The sequence below is a fragment of the Homo sapiens genome, chromosome 15, assembly GCF_000001405.40.
Source record: "Homo sapiens chromosome 15, GRCh38.p14 Primary Assembly".
In the NCBI taxonomy this organism is placed as follows: domain Eukaryota; kingdom Metazoa; phylum Chordata; class Mammalia; order Primates; family Hominidae; genus Homo; species Homo sapiens.
This window is the reverse complement of record NC_000015.10, coordinates 89,420,124-89,443,738: the sequence shown is the minus strand read 5'-3', so window position 1 is coordinate 89,443,738 and position 23,615 is coordinate 89,420,124. Positions and strand designations below refer to the sequence as shown.

General features: G+C 50.3%; 5 annotated features.

Moving 5' to 3' along the window:
• Window positions 1,444–2,123: an enhancer, noted in NCBI's record as "H3K4me1 hESC enhancer chr15:89984847-89985526 (GRCh37/hg19 assembly coordinates)". NCBI's record gives its function as "activates a minimal SCP1, AML or CMV promoter by ChIP-STARR-seq in primed H9 embryonic stem cells {active_cell/tissue: H9 hESC(primed)}" and the evidence as "EXISTENCE:reporter gene assay evidence [ECO:0000049][PMID:30033119]".
• Window positions 1,829–1,978: an enhancer, noted in NCBI's record as "active region_10053". NCBI's record gives its function as "activates an Ori minimal core promoter by ATAC-STARR-seq in GM12878 lymphoblastoid cells {active_cell/tissue: GM12878}" and the evidence as "EXISTENCE:reporter gene assay evidence [ECO:0000049][PMID:35858748]".
• Window positions 2,124–2,803: an enhancer, noted in NCBI's record as "H3K4me1 hESC enhancer chr15:89984167-89984846 (GRCh37/hg19 assembly coordinates)". NCBI's record gives its function as "activates a minimal SCP1, AML or CMV promoter by ChIP-STARR-seq in primed H9 embryonic stem cells {active_cell/tissue: H9 hESC(primed)}" and the evidence as "EXISTENCE:reporter gene assay evidence [ECO:0000049][PMID:30033119]".
• Window positions 9,324–9,853: an enhancer, noted in NCBI's record as "H3K4me1 hESC enhancer chr15:89977117-89977646 (GRCh37/hg19 assembly coordinates)". NCBI's record gives its function as "activates a minimal SCP1, AML or CMV promoter by ChIP-STARR-seq in naive H9 embryonic stem cells {active_cell/tissue: H9 hESC(naive)}" and the evidence as "EXISTENCE:reporter gene assay evidence [ECO:0000049][PMID:30033119]".
• Window positions 12,699–12,758: a silencer, noted in NCBI's record as "silent region_6797". NCBI's record gives its function as "represses an Ori minimal core promoter by ATAC-STARR-seq in GM12878 lymphoblastoid cells {active_cell/tissue: GM12878}" and the evidence as "EXISTENCE:reporter gene assay evidence [ECO:0000049][PMID:35858748]".

Here is a 23,615-nt window from a genome sequence, read left to right as displayed (position 1 = left end):
CAGGCTTCTAAATTGGATTGAATGATAACCCTAGGGATTTGGGGGAGTGGGGGAAGAGAAGACCCTAAGCACAGACTGACAACCTGGGTTGGAAATCAAAATAACCCAACTGATTTCTTGGTGACTGTACCTTTGTCCCTGCCTCCTCCATCCTCAGACCCACCTACCATACTGCTGAGGGGAGGAGAGCGTCTGTGTCTTTAATTGCCCTATTGCCACCTCCTGGGGTGTGAGCTGCACAAACCTACCTCTAGCTTCTTCTGGTCCCCCTATCGCCCCCACCAATGCTGATTAATTACAGGGTTAGGCACCCAAAACAGGCAGTGACCAGTGCCTTTCACTGATCACTGCCTTGAAGCCACGGTAATCAGCAGTTTTAGCTTGTCGCTCTCTTGACACTCTACTTAGATCAGGAAATGGCAAACGTGATGGAAATAAGGACTTTATTAACTGTTTCCTCCTTTCCTAGTGATGGGGTGATGGGCAGGTGGGGAGCTGGGATTGGAGGATCGAGAGGGGTGTCGGACATTTGGAAGCCTTCAACCGGTTGCCACCCGGGCAGGTGATGTGCAGACCCCGGAGCGACCGTGGAGCATAGCCCGGGACTTGCTGGCCGCACCTCCACGCACGGATCTCTTGCGCAGGTCATCCAGGCCTCTCATCTGCCACTGGGGATGGGATCCCGGCTCCGCCTGCCTCTGAGAGCTGACAAACATCTGCACCAGGGAAGGTGCTTTAACCCCAGGGAGTCCCCAAGGGCTTCTGGGTAGCAGGCCATCCTCTCTTCTGGTAGGGCCTGTGCCCCATCTCGGCTGCTGGCCCCTGCAAATCTTTTGTGAAGATTAGGAAAGGGCGCCCCCTTGGGGCAGATGCAGCCCTCGCAGGGCACAGAGCTTAGGAATTGGGGGAAGGCCCGATTTTAGCCCAGCACAGCCCCTCAGGGGCCTGTTAAAGGTGCTGTCAGGTCCTTCCTTCCCTTCAGTCTTCACAACAGCCCCTAAAACAGGCAGGTTGGTATCTGACACATGCAGAAACTGACGCTCCCTGTTCCAGGGTGCTCTCCTGCAAAGGGCCTCATGAGGCCTAGGACCTAGAGTCTCATATCTCCCAGGTAGACACCCCGGCAAGCTGCCACAGCACCCCCACCCCACAGAGACTTAGGATGGCATCAGGACCCAGTCATGAAGGGGGGCAGGTGACTCCCAGGCAACCCAGCCACCACCTACTACCTTCCCAGGGGGTGGCAGGCGGCAACCAGAACCTAGAGCCCCTGCCGCTACCCCCGCTGACACAGAGCACCCTCAGCTGCCCCGTGTAAGCCACTGAAACCTGGCTCCAGAAGCACATTAGAGGGTCCCAGCCACCACCATGGTCTCTGACCGCACGGCACCACATACCACAGACCCTGTGAGACCCAGGAACCCAAGCAAGACGACATCGTCTTGCCTGTACACAGCAAACTTCCCCGCCCTGGAGCTGGCCTACTGCCCCCCGCCCCTTTCTGCTTTTCCAGTAGGGTCAGTGGCTTTCAGGCATTGTCCCAGGAGGGTGGGGGCTGGAATCCTCACCAGGAGAACCCCAGCACCAGCCCCGGCAATGACTGGATGCCAAATGCTTGACTCCTTTTTTCATTTCTATCATATCCACAAATATGTATTGAACCAGGCACCAGGCCCTACCCGAGTGCTTGGGATCCACCAGTGAAAACAACCAATACCCCTGCAGTCTCAGAGCTGACATCCGAACTTGACTCAAAAGCATGAATAGGTGGGTCGGGATCATGGTTGGCTTCATGCCTTTGCTCAAATGTCACCCTCTTAATGAGGCCTTCCCTGGCCCATTTGCAATGGCGGCCCCAGCACACCCTGTTCACCTTCCTGCTTTATTCCTCACCTTCAGCTCATCTCTATGATGTACTTATTTATCTTGTTTATTGCCCACCTCCTCCACCAGAATGTCAGCTCTGTGAGGCAGGGATGGTCATGTGTTTTGTTTAGAGCTGTATATCATGATGCCTGGATCATCATGCTCAATAAAGGGGCTCAATAAAGGTTGTTGAATAAGTGAACACTCAGCCTTGCTTCACTGACCGGCTCCTTCCTGTGCGGCCTCAGTTCCTCTCTCAGTTCCTCTCCCAAGCCCCACCCACAGGTGCTCCCCTCAGGCTGTAAGGTTTGCTCCGCCCTCCTGGCTCCACCCCTCCCTATGCCCAGGATTAGTGGGAAGCCACAGTGGCCTTGGGAAGAGCATGGGCATCTGGGTGCCCTAGACCTCACCCAGGCCACTGACCCTGATCTGCCCACTGGGCCTGCCTGACCTGGTGCTGGCTTTGTGCCCACTGCCCCAGCTGTGCCCTCCCTCTTCCTCCCCTCCCTCCTCCCTGACACAGCAGGTGGACAGAGCCTGTGCAGCTCTAGCTGCATTGCCTCAGGGGGCAGCTTTCTAGCTTCTGGTGACCTGCCACCCTCTCACTCCCCTCTGAGCTCATGGCACAGTGGACAGCTACCAGCCTGGCTCACGGCAACCTCCAGCTCCTGGGCTCAAGCGATTCCCCCTGCCTCAGCCTCCCAGGTAGTTGGGGCTATAGGTGTGCACCACCACACCTGGCTAATATTTAAAATTTATTTATTCATTTATTTATTTTTTTGAGACAGAGTTTCGCTCTCGTTGCCCAGGCTGGAGTGCAATGGTGCGATCTCGGCTCACTGCAACTTCCGCCTCCTGGGTTCAAGTGATTATCCTGCCTCAACCTCCCGAGTAGCTGAGATTACAGGCACCTGCCGCCACACCTGCTAATTTTTGTATTTTCAGTAGAGACAGGGTTTTACCACATTGGTCAGGCTAGTCTCGAACTCCTGACCTCAAGTGATCTGCCTGCCTCAGCCTCCCAAAGTGGTGTAAAAAATTATTTTAGAGACGGAGTCTCGCTATGTTGCCCAGGCAGGTCACAAACTCCTGGGCACAAGGGATCCTTCCACTTCAGCCTCCCAAAGTGCTGAGATTACAGGATTGAGTCACTGCACCCGGCTTACCATTTTCAAGCATGTTGACATTCAGGATTGGGCCTGAGCCCCTGAAACCAGCATGCAGGTAGCCAGGGCAGGATTGCAATGCCCATTTTACAGAGGCGGGCCCAGAACTCACAGAATGAGGCTCATACATCTCATACCTGAGGCTTGGACCCAGAGCTAGTCTCGGAAGGTTCTGGAGCCCTTTGGGCTGGGACACAGTCCCTGCTGGGATCAGGGACCCGATGCCACCCTCTGGTGAGAGAAGCAGCCCAGTTTCTCCCTGCCCATCTCTGAAGATCCTTGCAGTTTATTCACCAGTTCATTCAATTCTCATTTTCCCAGAGACAGTACATGTCACAGAAGATTCAAGCATACTCCTGAACAGGAAACTTTTCTGGGACTCAAGTTTCTTTACCTGTAGAAGGGGCTTAATGATAGCATGTATTATTGTTAGTACTTATTATTAGTAATAGAATATAAGAGGTCATTGTGAAGAGTCACTGAGGCATGGTATATAACATGTTCTGCACATTGTCTGGTACATAGGAAACATTCATTATATTCATTAAATAGTAGCGATTTTTATTCTGGGTCTAGGCATAGAGATGCAGCTGGGTGAGAGACATAGACTCCCTTGCTCTGGAAGCCTTGTGTCCCCTGGGGAAGCCACAACCAGAGTGTCAGCATGCAACATGCAGGCCCACCCAAGGAGAAGCCTCGCAGAGGGGCAGCTAAGTCAGCCAATGGGGCCACAAAGGCGCAAAGGCGTCCTAAAAGAAGGGACCACTAAGACCGGATGCATGCTCAGGAGCAGTCCAGGCAAGGAAGGAGGGATGGTGTCTTGCCCAAAGGCACGGCAGGTGCTAACGTGGGTCTGCTGGGGCAAGCGGAGGCAGACGGAGGCCAGCTTCAAGAGGCCTGTGCAAGCCCCTCTGGAAAGCTGGGACTTCTGGGGGCACTGGGGACATGGCACAGCTGAGCTCAGAGAACAAGAGGGTAGATAGAGAAGGAAGAGGGGCTGTAGAGAGAGGTGATGGCAGAGGGAAGAGAGGGGCATGGAGAGGGGCCAGGTGAGTGGGGTGCCCTCAGGCACTGGATCAGAAAGTCTGGGTGTGGGCTGGGGCGGTGGCTCATGCCTATAATCCCAGCACTTTGTGAGGCCGAGGTGGGTGGATTGCTTGAGGTCAGGAGTTCAAGACCAGCCTGACCAACATAGTGAAACCCCGACTCCACTAAAAATACAAAAAAATTAGCCGGGCATGGTGGTGGGTGCCTGTAATCCCAGCTACTTGGGAGGCTGAGGCAAGAGAATCGCTTGAACCTGAGAGGTGGAGGTTTCAGTGAGCCGAGATCGTGCCACTGCACTCCAGCCTGGGTGACAGAGGGAGACTCTGTCAAAAAAAAAGAAAAAAGAAAGGCTGGGGTGTTTACCATCCAGCAAAGGGAGGTAAAGTGATAGGGAGAGGGGTCCTCTTTTCCAACTCAAATGGAGATGCCATATGGGCTAGCTCTGGTGCTGCAGGCAGGACCCCCGTGAGCACTCCCTCTGGACCCAAGCCCTGTTCTGGGAAGGAGTTGCCCGGCTTCCCGATAGCAGTCCTCCAAGCTCTGAGCACTCTTGGGCTGGTGAGCCAGTATGGGATGAGGAGGGGATCCCCTGGTGGTCCTCCCAGAATCCTACCCTCCAAGAGCCAGGACTGTGTGTCATCTACTGTGTGAACTCACAAAACTGTCTTCCCCAGTCTGGGTTTCAGTTTCCTCATCTGTCAAGTGGACCCATTTCTTTTCTCCCCTCAGGTCCTAGTGTTGGCACACATTTAGTCTGGGGTGCTCAGCCGACCAGCACCAGGGTCTCCCTGCCACCTGGATCCCTTACTGCTCCCACACCAAGAGGACCTGTGACCCACGAGTGCAGGGAAGCCATGTGAACGGCAAGAACCTAGTTGCTGGACTGAGCAGCCTCCTGCAGACATTCTGGTCTACACCGACCTGGCTCAGCCGGAGTCAGCCCCTCTCTAGAGCTGGCAAGAGGCCCAAGCTTAGCGCCTCTTCCAGAGGGGGTAGCCCATTGCCCTCCCATATCTGACAGGTCTCCTTGTGCTCCAAGGGGCAGTGAGGGGTTGGAGTGTCTCTTGCTGCCTCTTTTCTGGCCTCATCCCCACAGCTGTGGCTGCACTCTCACCGCTACCCTGAGCTTCTGTGGATGCTGAATTCATATGAAATCTCAGAGGGAGGGCTCCTGGGTGGGCAGACAGATGGGAAGAGGAGATGCTCCAAGGCTTTCCTCCCTGACCCTGCTCTCCCAAGATTGTCCTCTGCCCTCATGTGCGGGGCCTGAGCAAGCAGGACAGGCTGCCTGGTTGAACTGGTGGTCTCATCTCAGGCAGGATCTAGGTGTATGATGTGGCCTCAGGTCTGGGCTGACAGAGGACAGTCTGGTATAACACAGAGGCCCCTGTGGGACCTCAAGCAGGCTCTGGGGAAGTCAGTGACCAGTGAGTCCTGAGCAGGACGGAGCTAGAGCTAATGACTCCAGCAGATCTCATGAATGCTCAGAGTTGGGCCCGGCACAGTGACTCACGCCTGTAATCACAGCATTTTGGGAAGCTGAGGCAGGCAGATCACTTGAGGTCAGGAGTTCAAGACCAGCCTGACCAACACAGTGAAAAGTACATAGCAAAATACATAGCAAAAAATACAAAAATACAAAAAAATTAGCCAGGCGTGGTGGTGTGTGTCTATAGTCCCAGCTACTTGGGAGGCTAAGGCAGGAGAATGGCTTGAACCTGGGAGGCAGAGGTTGCAGTGAGCCGAGATTGTGCCACTGCACTCCAACCTGGACGACAGAATGAGACTAGATGTCATATGACTTAGCATGCCAATGCTTAAAGGCTTAAGGAGAGGAGAGGAGGAGGTGAGTGAGACTATGTGACTATGTCTCAAAACAAACAAACAAAATAACAACAACAACAACAAAAACACAGGTGAGAGTTGAGCCAACCCAGGCTGAATCCTTGCTCTTCTGCCTTCTAGCCGTGTGACCTTGGACAAGTCATTGGACTTCTCTGTGTTTCAGTTCCCTGTGCAAAGTAAAAAGCAACAGTAACACCTATTCTAAAGGGTTGATATCACGGAATAGATATAAAGTACCTGGCACAGGACCTAACACTGAGTAGTTACTCAATTAATGGTAACTATGATTATTTGTATTCCCATGGACAAGTGGCTACATGGTACTTCAGTGCCCTGAGCTATGTGACCTTGGGCAAGTTGCATACCCTCTCTGGGCCCATCTGTAAAATGAGGGACTTCAGTAGAGGAAGCCCAAGACCTCCCTTTGATTTAAGCTTTCTGATTTGTGGGCACTCTGGGTTGATAAGAGGAGACTGCTCACTACATTGTTTATATGAGCTTCAAGTCCTGGGCCCTTGGAGAGGACTGGAGGTAGAAGAAGGAGGAAGAGGGATGGAAGAAGGAGGGGACAGAGGGCCCGAGGAAGAAGAGGATGTGAAGCAGGAGGAAGGAAAGAAAGAAGGGGAGGAGGACTGGAGGGGAAAGCAGAGGACAGGGAGAGGAAAAAGGGGTAGAGAGGAAGAGAAGAAGAAAGAGGAAGAGGAGAAAAGGGAGGAGGAATAGAGAGGAAGGGAGAGGAAGGAAAATAGAAAAGAGAAAAGGAGGAAGCACAGGAGAAGGGGGTGGAAGAGAAGGAGAAGAGAGAGGCAAGGAAGAGGCATGAGAAGGAAGTGTCAGCAGCAAGTGTTCGGTCACTGCAGAGAAGTCCAGAAACGAGCTTGCTCCCGAGGACACCAGAAGGACCTGGGCTTTTTGGAGGCTAGAGCAGGGCTGGTTCTCTCTGGAGGGCTGATATCCTGAGCCTGGCCCCTGGGGCTAGGAATGCCCTTCTGGATTCCAGGAAAGGACCTCTGGACCTTGAGTCACTGCCTCGTCAAACCCAGAAGAAAACAGATTGGGTGAAAGCCATTGGCCACTAGGTGGGCCAGGATTTCCTTCAGGAGTGCTCCCGGGGCATATGGATAAGCCCAGGAGCGCCATCCTCAGTCCCTCTGTGGGGGTGAGAGGTGGACAGAGAGGTAAGGGATGAAACCAGGGTGAAGGGCTTTTCTGGCCCTTTCCTAGACAGGCCAGAGCCTTTAGACTGAGCAGAAGGGGCCACCCCCAGGGGATCGGCCGAGGCTGGGTTCCCAGAGAGCCCCGGTACCTGGGCAGGCCAGGCAAGGCAGCCAGCCCTGGAGTAGCCTCTGCAGCCTCGGCCATGTAGTTCACCCCTCTGGCATTCCCTGCTCCCTTTCCTGAAGGGGAAGCACAGACTTAAGTGTCAAAGATCCACTACCTTGAATTCCACTGTGAGACCTCGAGAAAGTCACTTGACTCCTTTCAGCCTTGGTTGTCTATAAGAAGGGGTAGTACTAGTGCTAGAAGGACTAAGTGCAGTGATGGCGGCCCAGGGCTTAGCATGCCAATGCTTAAAGGCATAAGGAGAGGAGAGGAGGAGGTCAAGATGCCTTTCCTTCTCCCTCTTCCCTCCTTCACTCTGTCCTTCCTCTGGTGCAGGTGCTGAGTGCTCACAGCAGGCACGAGGACCCTGCAGGCATGCCTTCCGGTCCATTCCCAGGCCGTACCCCACTTTCCAGCTGCCTCTTGGGGTGGCCCACACTCAATCCACCACCCCAGGCTGCCTGCATATCAGCAAATCCTCCAAAAATACTTTGCAGCGGGTGAATGGAGCACACGGCGTCTTCCTGGGTCCTCCCTCGCCACCCCAGTGGTAAGCCTGGGAACCCTTTGCCCGTGTGTGTCCAGGATGGGCAATGGAGGAGCAGTAAGTCCATGGCCTCTGTGAATGGCTGGGCCCCCTGGGGGACGGGGGAGCTGGGATAGGCTAGATGAATAGATCTTGGGCCCGGAAGTAGAAGGTCTGGGTCCCTGGCTGCCTAGGAGGGGGCAGAAGCCTGCCTTCTTGAGGAGCCTGGGAAACCCTCTCCCAGGCAGGCCACAGGCAGGGGTGGAAAGTCAGGGCCCGCGGGGGCTTTGTGCCCTGCACAATTGCAGCCGCTCTTCTGGATAAAGGGACGGACAAAGGGGCCTTCGGAAGTGGCCACGCTGCTCAGCCCCAGGGAGGCCCCAGGAAACCGGCTCTCACTGGCCGCCCACTCAGGCATCCTCTCCACACCCCCCACCACCCACCAGGGGGGCCAGCTGGGCCCCAGCCACCCACAGCCTGGGCAGCTGCATTGGGAGTGAAGGAAAGTTCCTTTGCCCAAGGGACCTGGAAAGGACCAGAAGAGCCCCAAGGAGGGTTGAGTTTGGGGGTGGGGGAATGCTGCTTTCTTACTTCCCAGGACAGCAGCAGGAACGGGCGACGGAGGAGGGTGGGCTTAAGAATGGCCTTCAGGCCTCTGATGAACCATGGGCTACTTTTAAGTCTTCCCCCATGAGGAGCCACTGGTTTGCAGACAGAATGCAGCTCCTGCAGGCTTTGAAACAGCTCCTCTTCCGAACTATCCTCACATCACAGGACCCATTTCCTTAGCCAGCTGGTTTGTCAGATACAGGCACAGTACTCCAGCAAGCACCCCCAAAGCACCCCAACTCGGAATTCAACAAGACTGGGCTCTGCAGTTCTGGCTGTGGGACCTCAGCAAGCTTCACAACCCCACTGATCCAAGGTTTCTCCATCTCTCATACAAGTTAGAGCTACTGCTTGTAGGATGGGGAGTGCATTAAACGAGGTGCCTGGGATCAAGCCCCTGACATTCATGACGATCTGGTCTCTAAATAGTAGTTATGTTCCTTAGGCCCCGTGTGAATATGGAATGGTCATTAACTGCACGTTAGCTGTATTCAGAAGCAGTGTTGGGCTACGGTTTCCAGCAATCTTAGTAAGCAGAGTATGTTGAGGGTAAAGAGATGGGGGTGGTAAACACTCGTGCTACAGCATCCACCTGCCTTTTAATTTTGAAATGACTTTAGATTTGCAGAAACATTGCAGATGGTACAGTGAGATTCCCCTAACATTAACCTCTTATATCGCCATGGTACATTTGCCATAACTAAGAAATTAACATTGTTATAACACCATGGACTAAACTCCATACTTATTAGGATTTCACCAGTTTTTCCGGGAATGTGCTTTGTTCTAGGATCCAGTCCAGGGCACCGCATTGCGTTCAGTCACCTGTGTGTCATGGATGAAAGAGCAGAAGGCCCCCTCTTCATCAGCTTTGCTCACTCCCGGAAGGCAAGGCCCGTTTCCTGGAGTGGGGAAACGACCCACACAAGCCCCCTGTCCTGCTGAGTCTCCCCATCAGGAAGTGGGTTTCCTAAGCTCATCAGTGCATTCAGGAGCTCCCTTCCCAGAGCTCTAGACTAATGAAGGAGTTCTGTGGCTTCTTGCTAGCATGGAAAGCTGAGGAAAGAATGTCAGAACAGAAGCAGACCACACAGATGGGAAACGGGACACCCAAAGCATCTGAGAGGCCCTGTGTCCCTGCTGCTTGGTACACACACACACACACACACACACACACACACACACACACACACACAGCCCCAAATCAGACCTTCCTGTAGCTCAGAGAGTGGTTCAGAATCCAGAACTCTTTTCCCCAACTCCAATCACTTGAATGAGAATAAGAATGAGTCCCAGCCCATCCCCCAAGCCCACACCTGCCACTCCTCCCACAGAGCTGGTTGTGGTGCCTGGATGTGGGCACTTCTGGGTCCCAGCCCACCCTGGAAGCAAGAGTCAGCCAGGCTCCCAGGAGCAGTGGAGGGAAGGCCCCCTTGGCGTGGGTGAAGACAGGACAATGCCCACTTTTTCAGGCAGCTGGCAGAGCCTGCCAGGCCCTGGGTGTCTGAATGCCCATTGGAGCCAGACACTGGACTCTGTTTCCCAGGCAGCCCTGTGCCAGCACCTGCCCCCACCCAGAGAGAAGGAGCCTTTCTTTCCTGCTGGCCAAGGCCAAGGCTCCCAAAAGAGCATCAGCGGCAAGAGGGGCTGACCTTTGTTCAGGAAACTGGAGTTTCCTGGCCACCCGTACCCCACCTCCACTTGGGAACCTTGGAGCTGGAAAGGGAAGTATGTGTAAGGGCCTCAGTTCCCCTCTGTGAGTCTGCCCTGCTCCCTCCAGACTCTGAAGCTGCAGGACTGCCAGCCGGCCTTGGCAGACCCCCTCCCTGCCCCCACCCCACCCCACCTATTCATCAAGGGCTCTGAATGCTAAAGACCTTCACAAGGCTCATCCTGTTGGCCTTGAAAGGGACTCACATTAAAGACTGCTGCAGGGTGCATTTGGAGGGAGGGAGGGAAGAAGGGATTCCAACTGGAGTGACTGTGCCCACTTGGAAGGTTGCAGAATTGAGACCCACAGAGGTACCTGATGATGAGCCCAGGCTCCCCAGCTAGGGGAGGGACATGGATTGTGTCTCCAGACACCAGTTCAGGATTTGAGTTGCATGTGGCTTCCAGGCCATTTGCTCTAATGACTCACACCACTAGTTCTGTATAAGGACGTGGATCAAGGTATCCTCAAGGGGCCTTGGATACTGCTGGGGTTATTTGCTATCCAATCCTGACAGTTCCATTTGGGCCCCATGGATGAGCAAGTGCAGGGCCAGCTGGGATTTCTGGAAGGCCTGGGACTCACCCAGAAAATAGCCTCGGAGACATTTTGGTGTGGCTGTCCAGAAAGCCAGGCTGTGGGGCACCCTCTTCCATCAGGCCAGCTCTGGGAGATCCCTAAGCCTGAGAACTGAGGGCAGCAACACCCCAACACCCCTCCCTGACAGCCCCATCCACTCACCCCTAGGCCAGAGAGAGGGAGCAGGGGTGGATCTTGTGCCTGTCACACACACCGCTGACATGTACAGAAACATACGCACAGAGACACTAGACCCCCTCACCAATAGATGCAGGGAGACACAAAGATGAACACACACACACACAAGCACACAGCAGACAATGGCTGTTGGATCTTTATCATGGGCACTGTGATGTGTGCCTGGCCCTGATCATCTCATTTACTCCTCACACAACACACAAATATACGTAGAATGGGACCTAAGCAGAGAGACCAAGACACACATATTGGAAACCCAAAGACAAATACCTCACAGACTCAGACACACAAAAAGGACAACCAAACCATGGACCCACAAAGATAAACACACCAGTGGTGTCCCAAGGGCCAGGAGGTAGGACAGAGCCAGCCAGGAGCAGGCAAGTACTTTGTCTGCAGAGAATTTAAAAGTCACCATGCTTTTGATTATCAACTTGCACTGCAATTCCTTAACCGTGTCCGTAAAACAATGCTCCATTCCCCTCCCCAAATTATTCTGTTAATTCTTACCTGTTTTATTCCAATTTTTTTATTGGGGTAAAGTATGCATAACACAAAATTTATCATTTAACTGCTTTTTCATTGTGATGTTTTAATGATTTTTAAGTGTGCAATTCGTTGGCATTAAGTACATGCACGATGTTGTGTGACCATCACCACGATCCAGGACTTCTTCATCATCCTAAACAGAAATTCTGTACCTATTAAACAATAACTCTCCATTCCCCATCTCCCAGTTCCTGGTAACCTCTATTCTACTTTCTGTTTCTGCGAATTTGCCTTTTCTAGGTACCTCACATGAGTAGAATCACACATTTATCTTTTTGTGTCTTAAACTGTTTATTTTATTTTTATTAGTTATTTATTTATTTTTGAGATGGAATTTTGCTCTTGTCGCCCAGGCTGGAGTGCAGTGATCTCGGCTCACTGCAACTTCTGCCTCCCAAGTTCAAGCAATTCTCCTGCCTCAGCCTCCCGAATAGCTGGGATTACATATGTAGGCTTCAAATATGCACATTTATATTACTTATCCTTTAGTTAACCTTGTGTTCTACGTGAAAGTTAATTCCAAGAACTCCTGGCTCCGCAGTTGGCCTCTAGACAGGTTTTGATGGTTGGCATCTACCAAGTCACTTCCGGTGCAGGCTGTGTCTCCAGGCCCTAGCTCCATGATAATGAAGTTGTAGAACAGAACTTGAATTGCTTAATTTTATTTGTGACTAAAATTTAAAACTGTGAATCAGAGAGCAAGCTGTGAAGCTGCAATAGTTTTTGTTTGGAAAATGCAAATTTTACATTATATAGGGAATATTTTATTGAATTTGAACAATACGTTTAAAGTTGAAGTCTCTTCTTTGCAGATTATTCGTATTTTAGTCTTATTTAATTCTAATGTAATGTTATTCATTACTGGGACAAATCAGTATGTAAGTATATTCCCCCCCTTTGTTTAAATAATGTAATTTAAAACTATTTGCCCATTTTTTCCCTTTTTTAACTATAATGACTATTTCTTATTTTATTTATTTTTGAATTGGCATGAGTTTATATAGGAAATTCAATAAAAGAAAATTTTGGCTGCCTGCCATTTATTGTTACTCATTTCATGATTACTACTGCCAATAATTTTGTCTTATAGAAGAGGGCAGGTGTTAAAAATCTGCTCAGGGTATATGCTAGGTACCCCCTGAGACAGGTGTGCGTGCACACACACACACACACACACACACGGGCACGTGCACCCTCTGCTAAGTGCCCAAGTCCGCTAATCACGAGTGGGTGGGTCTCTCCAGCCAATAGTAGTCCCGGTGGTGGGAGGGTGGGTCCCAGATTGGGCGCCGGCGGACAAGGTGGGGTCGGGAATGGACGGCAGGAAGGAATAGAAGAGGATTCAGGCCCCAGTGAAGGTCCTGAGCCACAAAGACCGCCTCTGCCGCCTACTCCTGCCCCTTGCCCCGTCTCTGCTGCACTTCCGAAATCTACCACGAGGTGTCGCTGTGGCAAAGCGATCCCCGCCTCCGGACGCTTCCGAACTCTCTCGGCGACGTTTGCTGAGCGCCCTCGGTGCCAGGTACCGTGACTGGCCCTGGGGAGTCCAGACAAATGAGGTACAGCCTCTGTCCCTGAGCACCGCACAGCCTGGCGGGGGGCTCACAATGGGATCTAGGTGTGCACAGCCTGGCGGCGAGCGAGGACGTGGAAGGGCGCTCAGAAGCGGCTGCGTCACGGAGGGCCTTTAGTCCCAGCCGGAAAAGCTCAGGCTTTCCCACGAGGCGAGCAAAGGTCTGAGCGGACGTGTGCTTAGAAAGGCGCTCTGTGTGCTATTATTTGTGTTTTAAAAACGAAGGAAGGGTGCAAAATAAAGACCATACATTGTGAGTGTTCATAGGATATATCTGGAAGATATTTTAAAATGGGGGACATTTGTGTCCTCAGAAAATGAGATTCGTGGCTGGGCACAGGGATGGGGTAACTTTCACTCCGTGTATTTTGTTCATTTTGAGCTATGGAAATGGATCAACTTTCTGAAAAATACATGAAACAAAAACTATTAAATTAAAATTTGTAAAGTCTTTATAATAAAAACAAGTCAGTTAAGATCATTTCAACTGTGTTGTGTAAGATGAGCTGGAGAGACAGAGGCGGAGGCAGGGAGACCTTCAGAGCTGGGCATTGGTCCTGGGGAGGAGTTGGAGGAGACCTGGCCTGGTGGGGAGGTGGGGTGTGAGCACACCGCTGGGCTCTCCAGCAGTGATGACAGGCACAGGGCTTGGCTTATGGATTTTTCTGGGGCAACAAAAATATAAGGGCATGAAAAACAGAAGTATTGCTCCCAGATTTTAAAAAGGAAACTACAAAATCCAAATGAACAAATGTTTAATTAGATGTCTACAGAATGGAACTCATGCCAACCAGCCAATTGTCACATAATTCACAGAGCAGAATGTGAGTGCATTTTGATAGGTTTGACATGTTGCGGCAGGGAAGCCCAGTGGGGGATCCCCAGGACCTGCCTCCATTCTATACTTCCAGGGCTGAAGCCAGGCACCAGGGAGGCTCAGAAGTCACATCCCATACCAGGAGCAAGTTTCTGAGGCTTGGATACTCTTAGATATCCTCATGCCAAAGCCCCCTCCTGCCCCAAGTGAGGAGTCTGAGCAGGCCAGGTTGAGGGCAGCCCCCAACAGCAGGGCTCTTTCAAGGGTGTGTGTGTGGAGCAACAGTGGTGGGATAGCATCAGTGAGTGGAAACTACACCACAATAGTCAAGCCCACTCCCTGGACAGAAAAGGAAGCTGAGCCCAGAGCAGGGCAGGGACTGCCCCAAGGCCACACAGCCAGTTAGTTGGTGCACTGAGACTCATCCTGTCAACTCTGGCTTCCAGATCTTGGTGGCCTCCACTGGATCACATTGATGCCCTGCACACCCCAGTCCTGAAGCCAAGAGAGGACCTTCAGGGACCTCTTGGCCTTCCTCAGACAGCACTGCCAGCTATTCATGACTCCAGAGGGTTATTTGGTGGGATTTAGGAGAAAGTCCACATCCCAGGCCTTGCAAATGGCTGTGCCTCCTGGGGAGAGGAGTGGAGGGGAGGGCTTGTCCAGGCTGCTGGACATTTGCCAAGTCTCAAGGCACAAGCCTGTGAGCTGGCCTTCCTGTGTCACAATTCTCTCACCACAGCAGGCCTCCGTCACCAGCTCACCCTGCCCCACAATCCTGGTGCATGCAAAGGCATCTGGATTCCCAGGCTTGATTACATAAAAATTTAAAACTTCCATGAAGCAAAAAATACCTCATATGAAGGTAAATGAAAAGTGACCAATGGAAGAAGATGTCTACAACATAAGTAAAAGAGGAATGATATCTATAATATGTAAAGAGTTCTTATAAGTTAATAATTTAAAAAAATATGAGTAACCCAACAGGAGGCAAGGGTCCAATGAGGTAATAGCAGGAAAGGAGCTTTGCAGGAAGAGCTGGATATGTTTGAGGGTGAGTGTCCTGGGAAAAGTTGAGAGGAGGAAGCTTATTCTCTCCTGGTAGGCACAGAACCAGAACTGAACCATCTCTGTCTATTCTTTCTTTCTGACTGAGAGGCATGAATATTCCCTATGCCAGTCAGCTCAATGGAAAACACACACACATACACACGCACATATATACACACACACATACACCCCCTAAGCAAACGTCCTCCTGAGAGCCCTTCTGTGAGTCTTCTAAGATGTTTCAGTCCCACAGAGGGACTCTAGACTGAACCATGAATCCTATGAGTAACAGGTGAGCTTGAGGCCTGGGGAGGACACTTGGCAACCTCCCTACCTCCACTCCCTCTTTCTCCTTCCTAATAGAATCCCAGGCAGCCACCCTATTGCAGGCCCAGCAAAGGATTCATGATTGGACAAGACCACAGGTTTTTGAGAGGAGCAGCTGCATCCCACAGGGTGTTTAAATTTTTGTGGAACATAATTGGTAATGATGGGGGCACTGTGGGCATTTGGTGAGCAGGAATCGAGGTTAGAATTCCTGACAGTTGCACATAGCAAAACTTTGGCCTGAGCCCCACGTGACTTTCAAATGTTCCACTGGACAGAAATGTAGGTGAAAAATCTGAGCCTAGAATCTAATCTCATGTGACATATTAATAGAAAGGTTTTTTTGCAAGACTTTCATATATATTGAAAGCATACTGCAGCAAACCGCCACTGTGCACATTGAGGAGGCCTATGCTTTGTTTCACTGGTATCTTCCCAAGAGTTACCACCTCAACACAATCATGTCACTGGTAGCAATGTTACCAGTGGCGCTTTGGTCACCAAAACAACCCACCTATATTTGCCCATATCTGTTGCTACCGCATTCATGGAGCTTTTAGGCGCAGGTGAAAGCATCTGATTGTTTCATTATGTTTTCTAGAATACTTTTGCCTCAGCATGTATCTTGAAATATATTTTATTAATTATACATTTCCTTTTGTTTTTCTTTTAGAGTTAGGGCATTGCATTGCTATTTTTGCAATTACATGTGTAAGTAGGTCCTACTTCTACAGATTTCATCAGGATAGTAATATTTGTTATGAGAAGGGAACCCTGAGCCTAATGGGATCGAGAATGGCTGGCCTGAGCCAGACGGCAGATGGAAATCCCCCGGGGATGACTATGGGTTCGTGGATTGGGTGGAGCAATTTTTGGCATCTTCACTCTTTGGCATGAACAAGGAGGCAACCACACGGGCCTGATGGCTACTGGCAGCCATCTTGTGTTCATGAGGGAAATGTTCCTGAGAATAAAGCCAATGTGGAGAACAGAGGTGGGGGACCTGGATCTTTGGTGATGTCACCGAGCCCTGATGCTATGGCATCCGAGGATACCCTGCCTCTGCATCTCCAGCCCTGTGAGGTAAATGTTCTTATGAGGAAAACAGTGGCAACCAACTGTTAGGTACAATGGCATGAATGGTTTGGGTTAAATGGCACTACTACCTCGGTTTCCCTCAGAAAAAGGGATCTTGGTGAGCATGGATACAGCTTCCTCTTACAGTGATGCCAACATGGCCATTCATGTTTCTGACCCTTTAACGGCCACCTTTAAAGGCCAGACCTCAGAGGAGACAGTAGCAGCTGCAGTTTTCTTCCTGCTATAGGCTTCTCTCCACCTCTGAGAAATGTTCATGGGGCTCAAAGTGGGTGGGGCAGAAAGGCTATGAATCTAGGTCTCCATAAGAGCTTCAGGCTCAGTATCCACTGTGTAAACCAAGAGTGGACCCGAGCCACAGAAAATCCAGCCTGGCAGAATCCCGGCCTGTTGCGCACATCTGGAAGACATGCGGGAACTACCCAGTCCAGCTCCCTGTGTATCAGTCAGGGTAGGCTGTATTATGGTGACAGCAACCCCCCAAATCTCAATGACTTGAAGCAACTATGTTTCATTCCCACTCCTATTTACATGCCCATTGAAGATGGGCAAGAAGCCTCTGCTCATCCAAGTCACTCCGGGACGCAGGCTGCAGGGAGTTCCATGTTGACCCGTACTCTCACCATTCCTGGAAGCAGAAGGAGAGCACAGCAAACCCCAAACTTACTGTCCATTAAGGCTTCTGCTGAAAAATGTCACATATCTCTTCCCCACATTTGATTGGCCAAAACAAGTCACACGGCCATACCTGCCTTCACCAGAGATAGGGCGCATACTCCTCCTGCCAGGAGGGCCAGTAAAGGAGAAGACACTGCATATGAGGACAGTGTACAGCCTCCTACACTTGATTTGTTGTCATCTATGTGGTCACCCTGATTCTACCTGAGCTCCCAGAGGACCTTTCCATGACAGCAGGTCTGACTGTGCTGGCCTCCATGTGAGGGCCTTCAGGGGACCTCATCCCTGACCAGAGGAAATGCAAACCTTCAGCATGGCCATCAAAACCATTCATGAGGCCAGGCACGGTGGCTCATGCCTGTAATCCTAACATTTTGGGAGGCCAAAGCAGCCGGATCACTTGAGGTCACGGGTTCGATACCAGCCTGGCCAACATGGTGAAACCCCATCTCTACTAAAAATACAAAAAATTAGCCGGGCATGGTGGTGCATGCCTGTAATCCCAACTACTTGGGAGCCTGAGGCAAGAGAATTGCTTGAACCTGGGAGGCAGAGGTTGCAGTGAGCCGAGATCATCCCACTACACTCCAGCCTGGGTGATAGAGCAAGACTCTGTCTCAAAAAACAAATAAATAAACAAACAAACAAAGAACAACCACGGTCTAGCCTCTATTTACCTCTCCAACTCCTCCCTCTTTATTTGCTACTTACTCATTCAGCCATAAACATTTACCAAGTGCTTCTGTGTGCTGACCACTGTGCCAAATGCTGAGCATGAAAGGATGTACATCCCTGTGAGCCCCTTAAAAGCCCAGACCACCTCTTGTTCATATCCAAAGACTCCCAGCGGCAGCAGCCTGCCATGTGTTAAAAAAGAATGAGACAGCTGTGTACATCCTGATATGGGACCAACCCTAAAATAGAATGTGAAGTTTAAAAAAGGAAGATGCAAGCCAGCCACAGTGGCTTGCATCTGTAATCCCAGCTACTCCAGAGGCTGAGGTAGGAGGACTGCTTGAGGCCAGGAGTTCAAGACCAGCCTGGGCAACATAGCAAGACCTCACCCCACTACCTCCTTAAAAGATTTTTTTTTTAATTAGCCAGATGTAGTGGCATGCACACATAGTCCCAGCTACTCGGGAGGCTGAGGCAAAAAGATCCCTTGAGCCCAGGAGTTTGAGACCAACTTAAAAACAAAAGCCGGGGACAAGATGCACAACAGGGTGAACAGTGTGCTAACTTTGTTGCACAGTGTGCTTGGACACGTGGAAAATCTCTGGACAGACACAAAATAAACTAATATTAATGACTGCATCTGAGGTGGGGAACCCACCCCAAGGGACTGGGGGACCCACCTAAGAAACTTACCTTTCTTGTCTACCCTTTGTTTAGTTTGAATATTTTACAATGTGCTTTAAAAACAAAAACAACAACAAAAAAAAGTCAGGACCTGCTGCAGTGGCTCACACCTGTACTGCCAGCACTTTAGGAGGCCAAAGCAGGTGGATTGCTTGAGGCCAGGAGTTGGAGACAAGCCTGGACAATATAGCAAAACGTCATCTCCACTAAAAATACAAAAATTATCTGAGGGCGGTGGTGTGTGCCTGTAGTCCCAGCTACTTGGGAGGCTGAGATAGGAGGATCACTTGAACCTGGGAGGCAGAGGTTGCAGTGAGCCGAGATCACATCACTGCACTCCAGTCTGGGCAACAGAGCGAGACTCTGTCTCAAAAAAAAAAAAAAAAAAAAAAAAAAAACAGAAAAGAAAAAAAAGAGAAAAATGTTGTAGTATATGCTGTTTTAACTTGGTTTTATTTTACACTCTCCTGATAAAGATTCAAACAGTAGACAAGAATATAAATGAAAAAGTACATGTGTCCCATCCCCTACCCCCTTCCCCCTGCCCCAAACCCAGCTCCTGGTTGCCCGTGCTCAGCTTCTTGTCACACAGGAAATGTGTAGTCATTCCATCTTAGGGGTGCACTGCAGGGGATATTCTCTTTTTATGCTTTTGTGAAATTTTTAATTTTTTTCAATAAGTGTATTATTATGGAAATAAGAAAAAAATAGATACTTTTCAAAGTGCTCTGAATTAAGACAGGGCTTGAGCCTCCTGACTTCCTCCTCCCTTCAACTTGGGAGAAACAGGCCTGACACTACCCCCGACCCCACTGCCATCCACACTGTCCCTGCCACCGACCAGAAAAGGTCTCCAGTTCCATGTTGAATAAAATTCAACATGAGTCCTTTCCTCACCTCCTCCTCTGACCTCATGACCTCAACCCTCCCCTCCCTCTCCAAGCCTCTGCCAACCAGGCCTCCTTTCAGATGCCAGAGTAGTACCACAGAGAAGAAACCTGTTGCCCTGTTGATTTTTCAGGGGGACTCAACCCAGGAATTCTCCTCTGTCTTGTTCAACAGGAAGTGTCTAGAAATGGATCTGAAATACAACAAAGGAAGAAAGGGAAGCAACTTGAAAAATCCCTCTTTCACGTGGATGTCAGGTTAAAAACGACTGGCCTTGTTAAAACCGCACCTTAATGAGGCGCCTTCCCAGCCTAATTGTCACCATGGCAATGACCCCTGGTGGCCATCTTTAATTAACTCCGTCAGAGTCACCAAATGAGCTCCTCCAGCAAATTGCTCGCTAGCCCAGACAGTCACGCGGCCCCTCCTCTGTCCTCTGTCCTCTCTCTTCTGGCACAGGTGATGGGACAGAAAATTCTCAGCTCTGTTTTTCCTCTCTACCTGCTTGTTCTCTCTGGCATGGCCAGGGAGGGACTCAGACACTGGTAATAATAATAAAGTAATAACAATACTAGTGTTATGCTAAGCACTTTTTCTGTATTATCTCATTTAATCATCACAGTAATTCTAGGAGGGATGCACTATGATTGTCCTTTTTTTGTTTTGTTTTCTGATGAGAAAACTGAGGCACAGAGAGACTCAGTCAGTCATTGGCAGAGCTGGGATTTAAACCCAGAGCATCTGGCTCCAGAGTCACTATGGTAGTCCCTCTGCTGGAGATGAAGCTCACAGGGTCTCCTCCTTCTTCTGCAGCATGATAAAGACCTGGAATTGCTTGCATACCCACTACTTTCCAGCTGTATGACCTTGGGCTACTTACTTCACAAGTCTGAGCCTGGTTCCTCATCTGGAACAGGGAGGGTCATTAAAGTGGGCTGAGGGTGGGTCAGGGGCAGGAACAGCCTCATCAGTTCTGTTCAATAATGACATCCCATCTCCACCAGAACCTTCCTGTTGTATTCACCCTGGTGTGGCTTTAGAAGCAAGATGGCATGGCAGTTAAGAGATAATAAATGAGGCCAAATGTGGTGGTTCATGCCTGTAATCCCAGTACTTTGGGAGGCCAAGACAGGTGGATCGCTTGAGCCCAGGAGTTCCAGACCAGCCTGGGCAACATGGTAAGACCCCGTCTCTAATATATATTACATATATATGTAATATACATAATATATATTTTTATATATGTAATATACATAATATATATTTTGTATATATGTAATATAATATATATAAATATAAATATATTAGCTGGGCATGGTGGTACGTGCTCGTAGTCTGAGCTACTCAGGAGGCTGAGGTGGGAGAATCACCTGAGCCTGCAATGAACCATGACCACACCACAATACTCCAGCCTGGGTGACAGAGCAAGGACCCTGTCTCAAAAAAAGATAGAGAGATAATAAATGTCATCATCCATGTGAAGTTCTGAGCATAGTATCTGCCCACAGTAATGTTTAGTGAATATTAGCTGTTATTATTTTTACTAAGTGGATATAAGCAATCCCTGCTGTCCAAACGTGGAGATGCCCCCCCAGAAAGAACTCCTCCAGAAGACAGCTAACAGGAATGAGAGGAAAAGAAAGTAGTACAGCTGGCCCAATTGCTGCCAGTTTTAGAATACACAGGCAATAGGCTTGCACACCTGTGGGAGAATACACTGGGTAGCATGTTACAGCTGTGGACCAAACACGGTAGGCACTTGTGCTGGCCTTGCCCACTGAACACACCTACATCAACCTGATCAGGCTAGATCAGGAGGTCCAGGTGCTCACCACTGAGTCACATTCCATCCAGAAAGAAGAAAGATAATGGGTGATTCCCCTCCCTCCAGGAACACCCCCTGGAAGGTACACAAGATATTTCTGCTTATATTCAATTGACCAGGACTTAATCACATGTCCACACCCAGATCCAAGAGAGTTTGGAAATGCAGTCCTCATCTTGGGCAGCCAAGGGAAAGGGAGATGATCCTCAGGCTTTGCCACAAACCTTCAGGTCCTTCTCTATACCATCCCAGAGTGATATGTCTAAATTGCAACTTCTGACCACATTGAACTGCTTCATGGCTCCCCCATCACTTTCAGCATGAGCTCCAAGTTTATAAGCATGAATTATAAGGCTCTGCAGGGTCAAGCCCCCACTCCTTTCCCACTCACCCTTCATTCCAGCCATACCAAGCCACTGGGCATGTTTTGAATCACACAGGCTTCCATGACTATATACCCTTGCCTATGCTGGGAATGCCATTTTATCTCTTCTCCATTTAGTTAGAACACCACTTCCTCTGTAGAGCCTTTCCAGGGACAGGGAGAAAGAGGTGGCCAGGATGGACAGAAAAGGGTGAGCATTCAGACCAGGGCTGGGGAAGGAGGAGGCATTCTTCTGTTCAGAGCTAAAGAAATACCTGAGCGGTAGATGTGCCAGACTTACTTGTACCAGAGGAGGCAAACTGGGGCTAATCAGGGCTTTTGAGACAGGAAAGGATCTTGGATTCCAATTTGTTCTTGTACCTCCATTTGACAAATGAGGAAACTGGGACCCAGACATAGGCAGTAACTTGCCCAAGGCACACTGCAGCAGAGTTCCCCATCAGTGCTCACATCACACTTTTGTTGCTAGTCTGTAGCCCACGTATAAATGTTTTATGGGACCATGGGCAGTCCTAAGTGTATTGCACAGAGAGGTGTGGCTTGTGCAGGGGATGGATCAGCAGGGGTCGCTCAGAGGCCTCACTCTCTCAGCAGCTCCCTTGGCAGTCCCAGGACACCCCAACCTCCCCAACAACTCTCCCAACCCCCTCAGCCCACTCCCCACAAGGCCACCGGGCCTGGGAGTTGCACATGGCCCAGCCCTGAAGTTCCCCCATGACATCGGTAGTGGGTGCGGTGCAGCCTCTGAGGGGCCACCAAGACAGAGAAGGAACCCATGATAATCCATCTCCTGTGCTTGACCTGCCTCCCTTCTGTGGCCCCAGGACTCCTGAGAGTGCAAGATTCGTCCTTGTCTCTGCCCTTGGTGCATGAGATTGGGGGCATCGTGCTCCCCCACTAGATGGCGAACTGGCGACCATTGTTCCGAAGGTGGGCACGAAGCGAGAAAGGCTGCCTCTGCCTCTCAGGGTGGTGCGAGGACCACAGAGGTCCTCACTGGCTGTCGGGGAGCATGGGACTCTCACTGAGCCAGGGTTTCTGAGAGGAAAGCGGGCTACCATCTGCATAACTGACCAGTCAAGCAGAGCCAGACTGAGTTTGGGGGTATTATCTTTCTTGACTTGAAAAATAAGGTGAGAAGAGGTTTCTAGGGTGTTCCCAAGACCAAGCCAGGCAAGGGAGGAGGCCCTGGAGGGCCTCATGTCTGGGCATGTGGCCTGCACATACGCAGCCCAAGCCTGCTCTGATGGGACCCCTTCACTGAACTAGCTCATGTGCCCTGGTGCCCCATGCAGATCACATGTCATCCTGGTCAAGACAAGAGGCTACGAAGTTCTGATCCCAGAAAGGTAAATGTCAAACCACTTCGCCAGGAGGGATTTGAGCTGAAATGAAATAGAAAAGAAAAACTCTCCTAAACATTTGTACCCTGAGTGTCTTACTATGGCCCAGATTGGTTCTAAACTGAACTTTTGAAGCATGTGGAAGAATGAGGACCTGGTCTGTCAACAAGTCACTTACCTGGCTGAAACTGTTTAGTGCTTCACCACCTCTTGGGTTTCCTTCCCTGTGGCCTCCCCACTAGCTCCCAGATAATTTTTCTCTTCCTCAGCCTGCCTGGGTACCATTTCCTCCTACTCTCTATTGGTTCTCCCTCTAATATTCCCTCCCTACTTCCACTTCTCAGAAAGGACCTCTGTGAGGCCATATCGAAAGGTCAATTGTCAATCCTCATCTTTCTTGGCCTGTCAGCATATTGGATACTTTTGACCTCTCCTTTGTTCTTAAGACACCTCCACTGCCCCCAACCCCCAGCCTCAAGTACATCACTTTTTTTGTTCTCTTCCTCTTCAAAGACCCTCCGTCTCAGTTTCCTTTACTGATTTTCTTCAATTTCTTCCTCTAAAATCAAAGTACTCCAGTGTTCAGCCCCTGGAACACTTTTCTTCTTTGTACTTTTACTCTCTAGTGATCTCATCTGCATGGTTTTAGATAAGACCCATAAGCTGACCTCTCCCCGGTTAATATCTCCAGCCAGGACCTCTCCTCTGAATGCCAAGTTTATATGTCCAGTTGCCTAGTAGACTATCTCCCTTGGCTATCTAGTAGATCTCTCAAACTTAACTTGTTCAGAAACAGCCTCAGCTCCCCATCCCCAAAACTCTGCTCCTCCTTCAGTCTTTCCCAGTTCAGGAA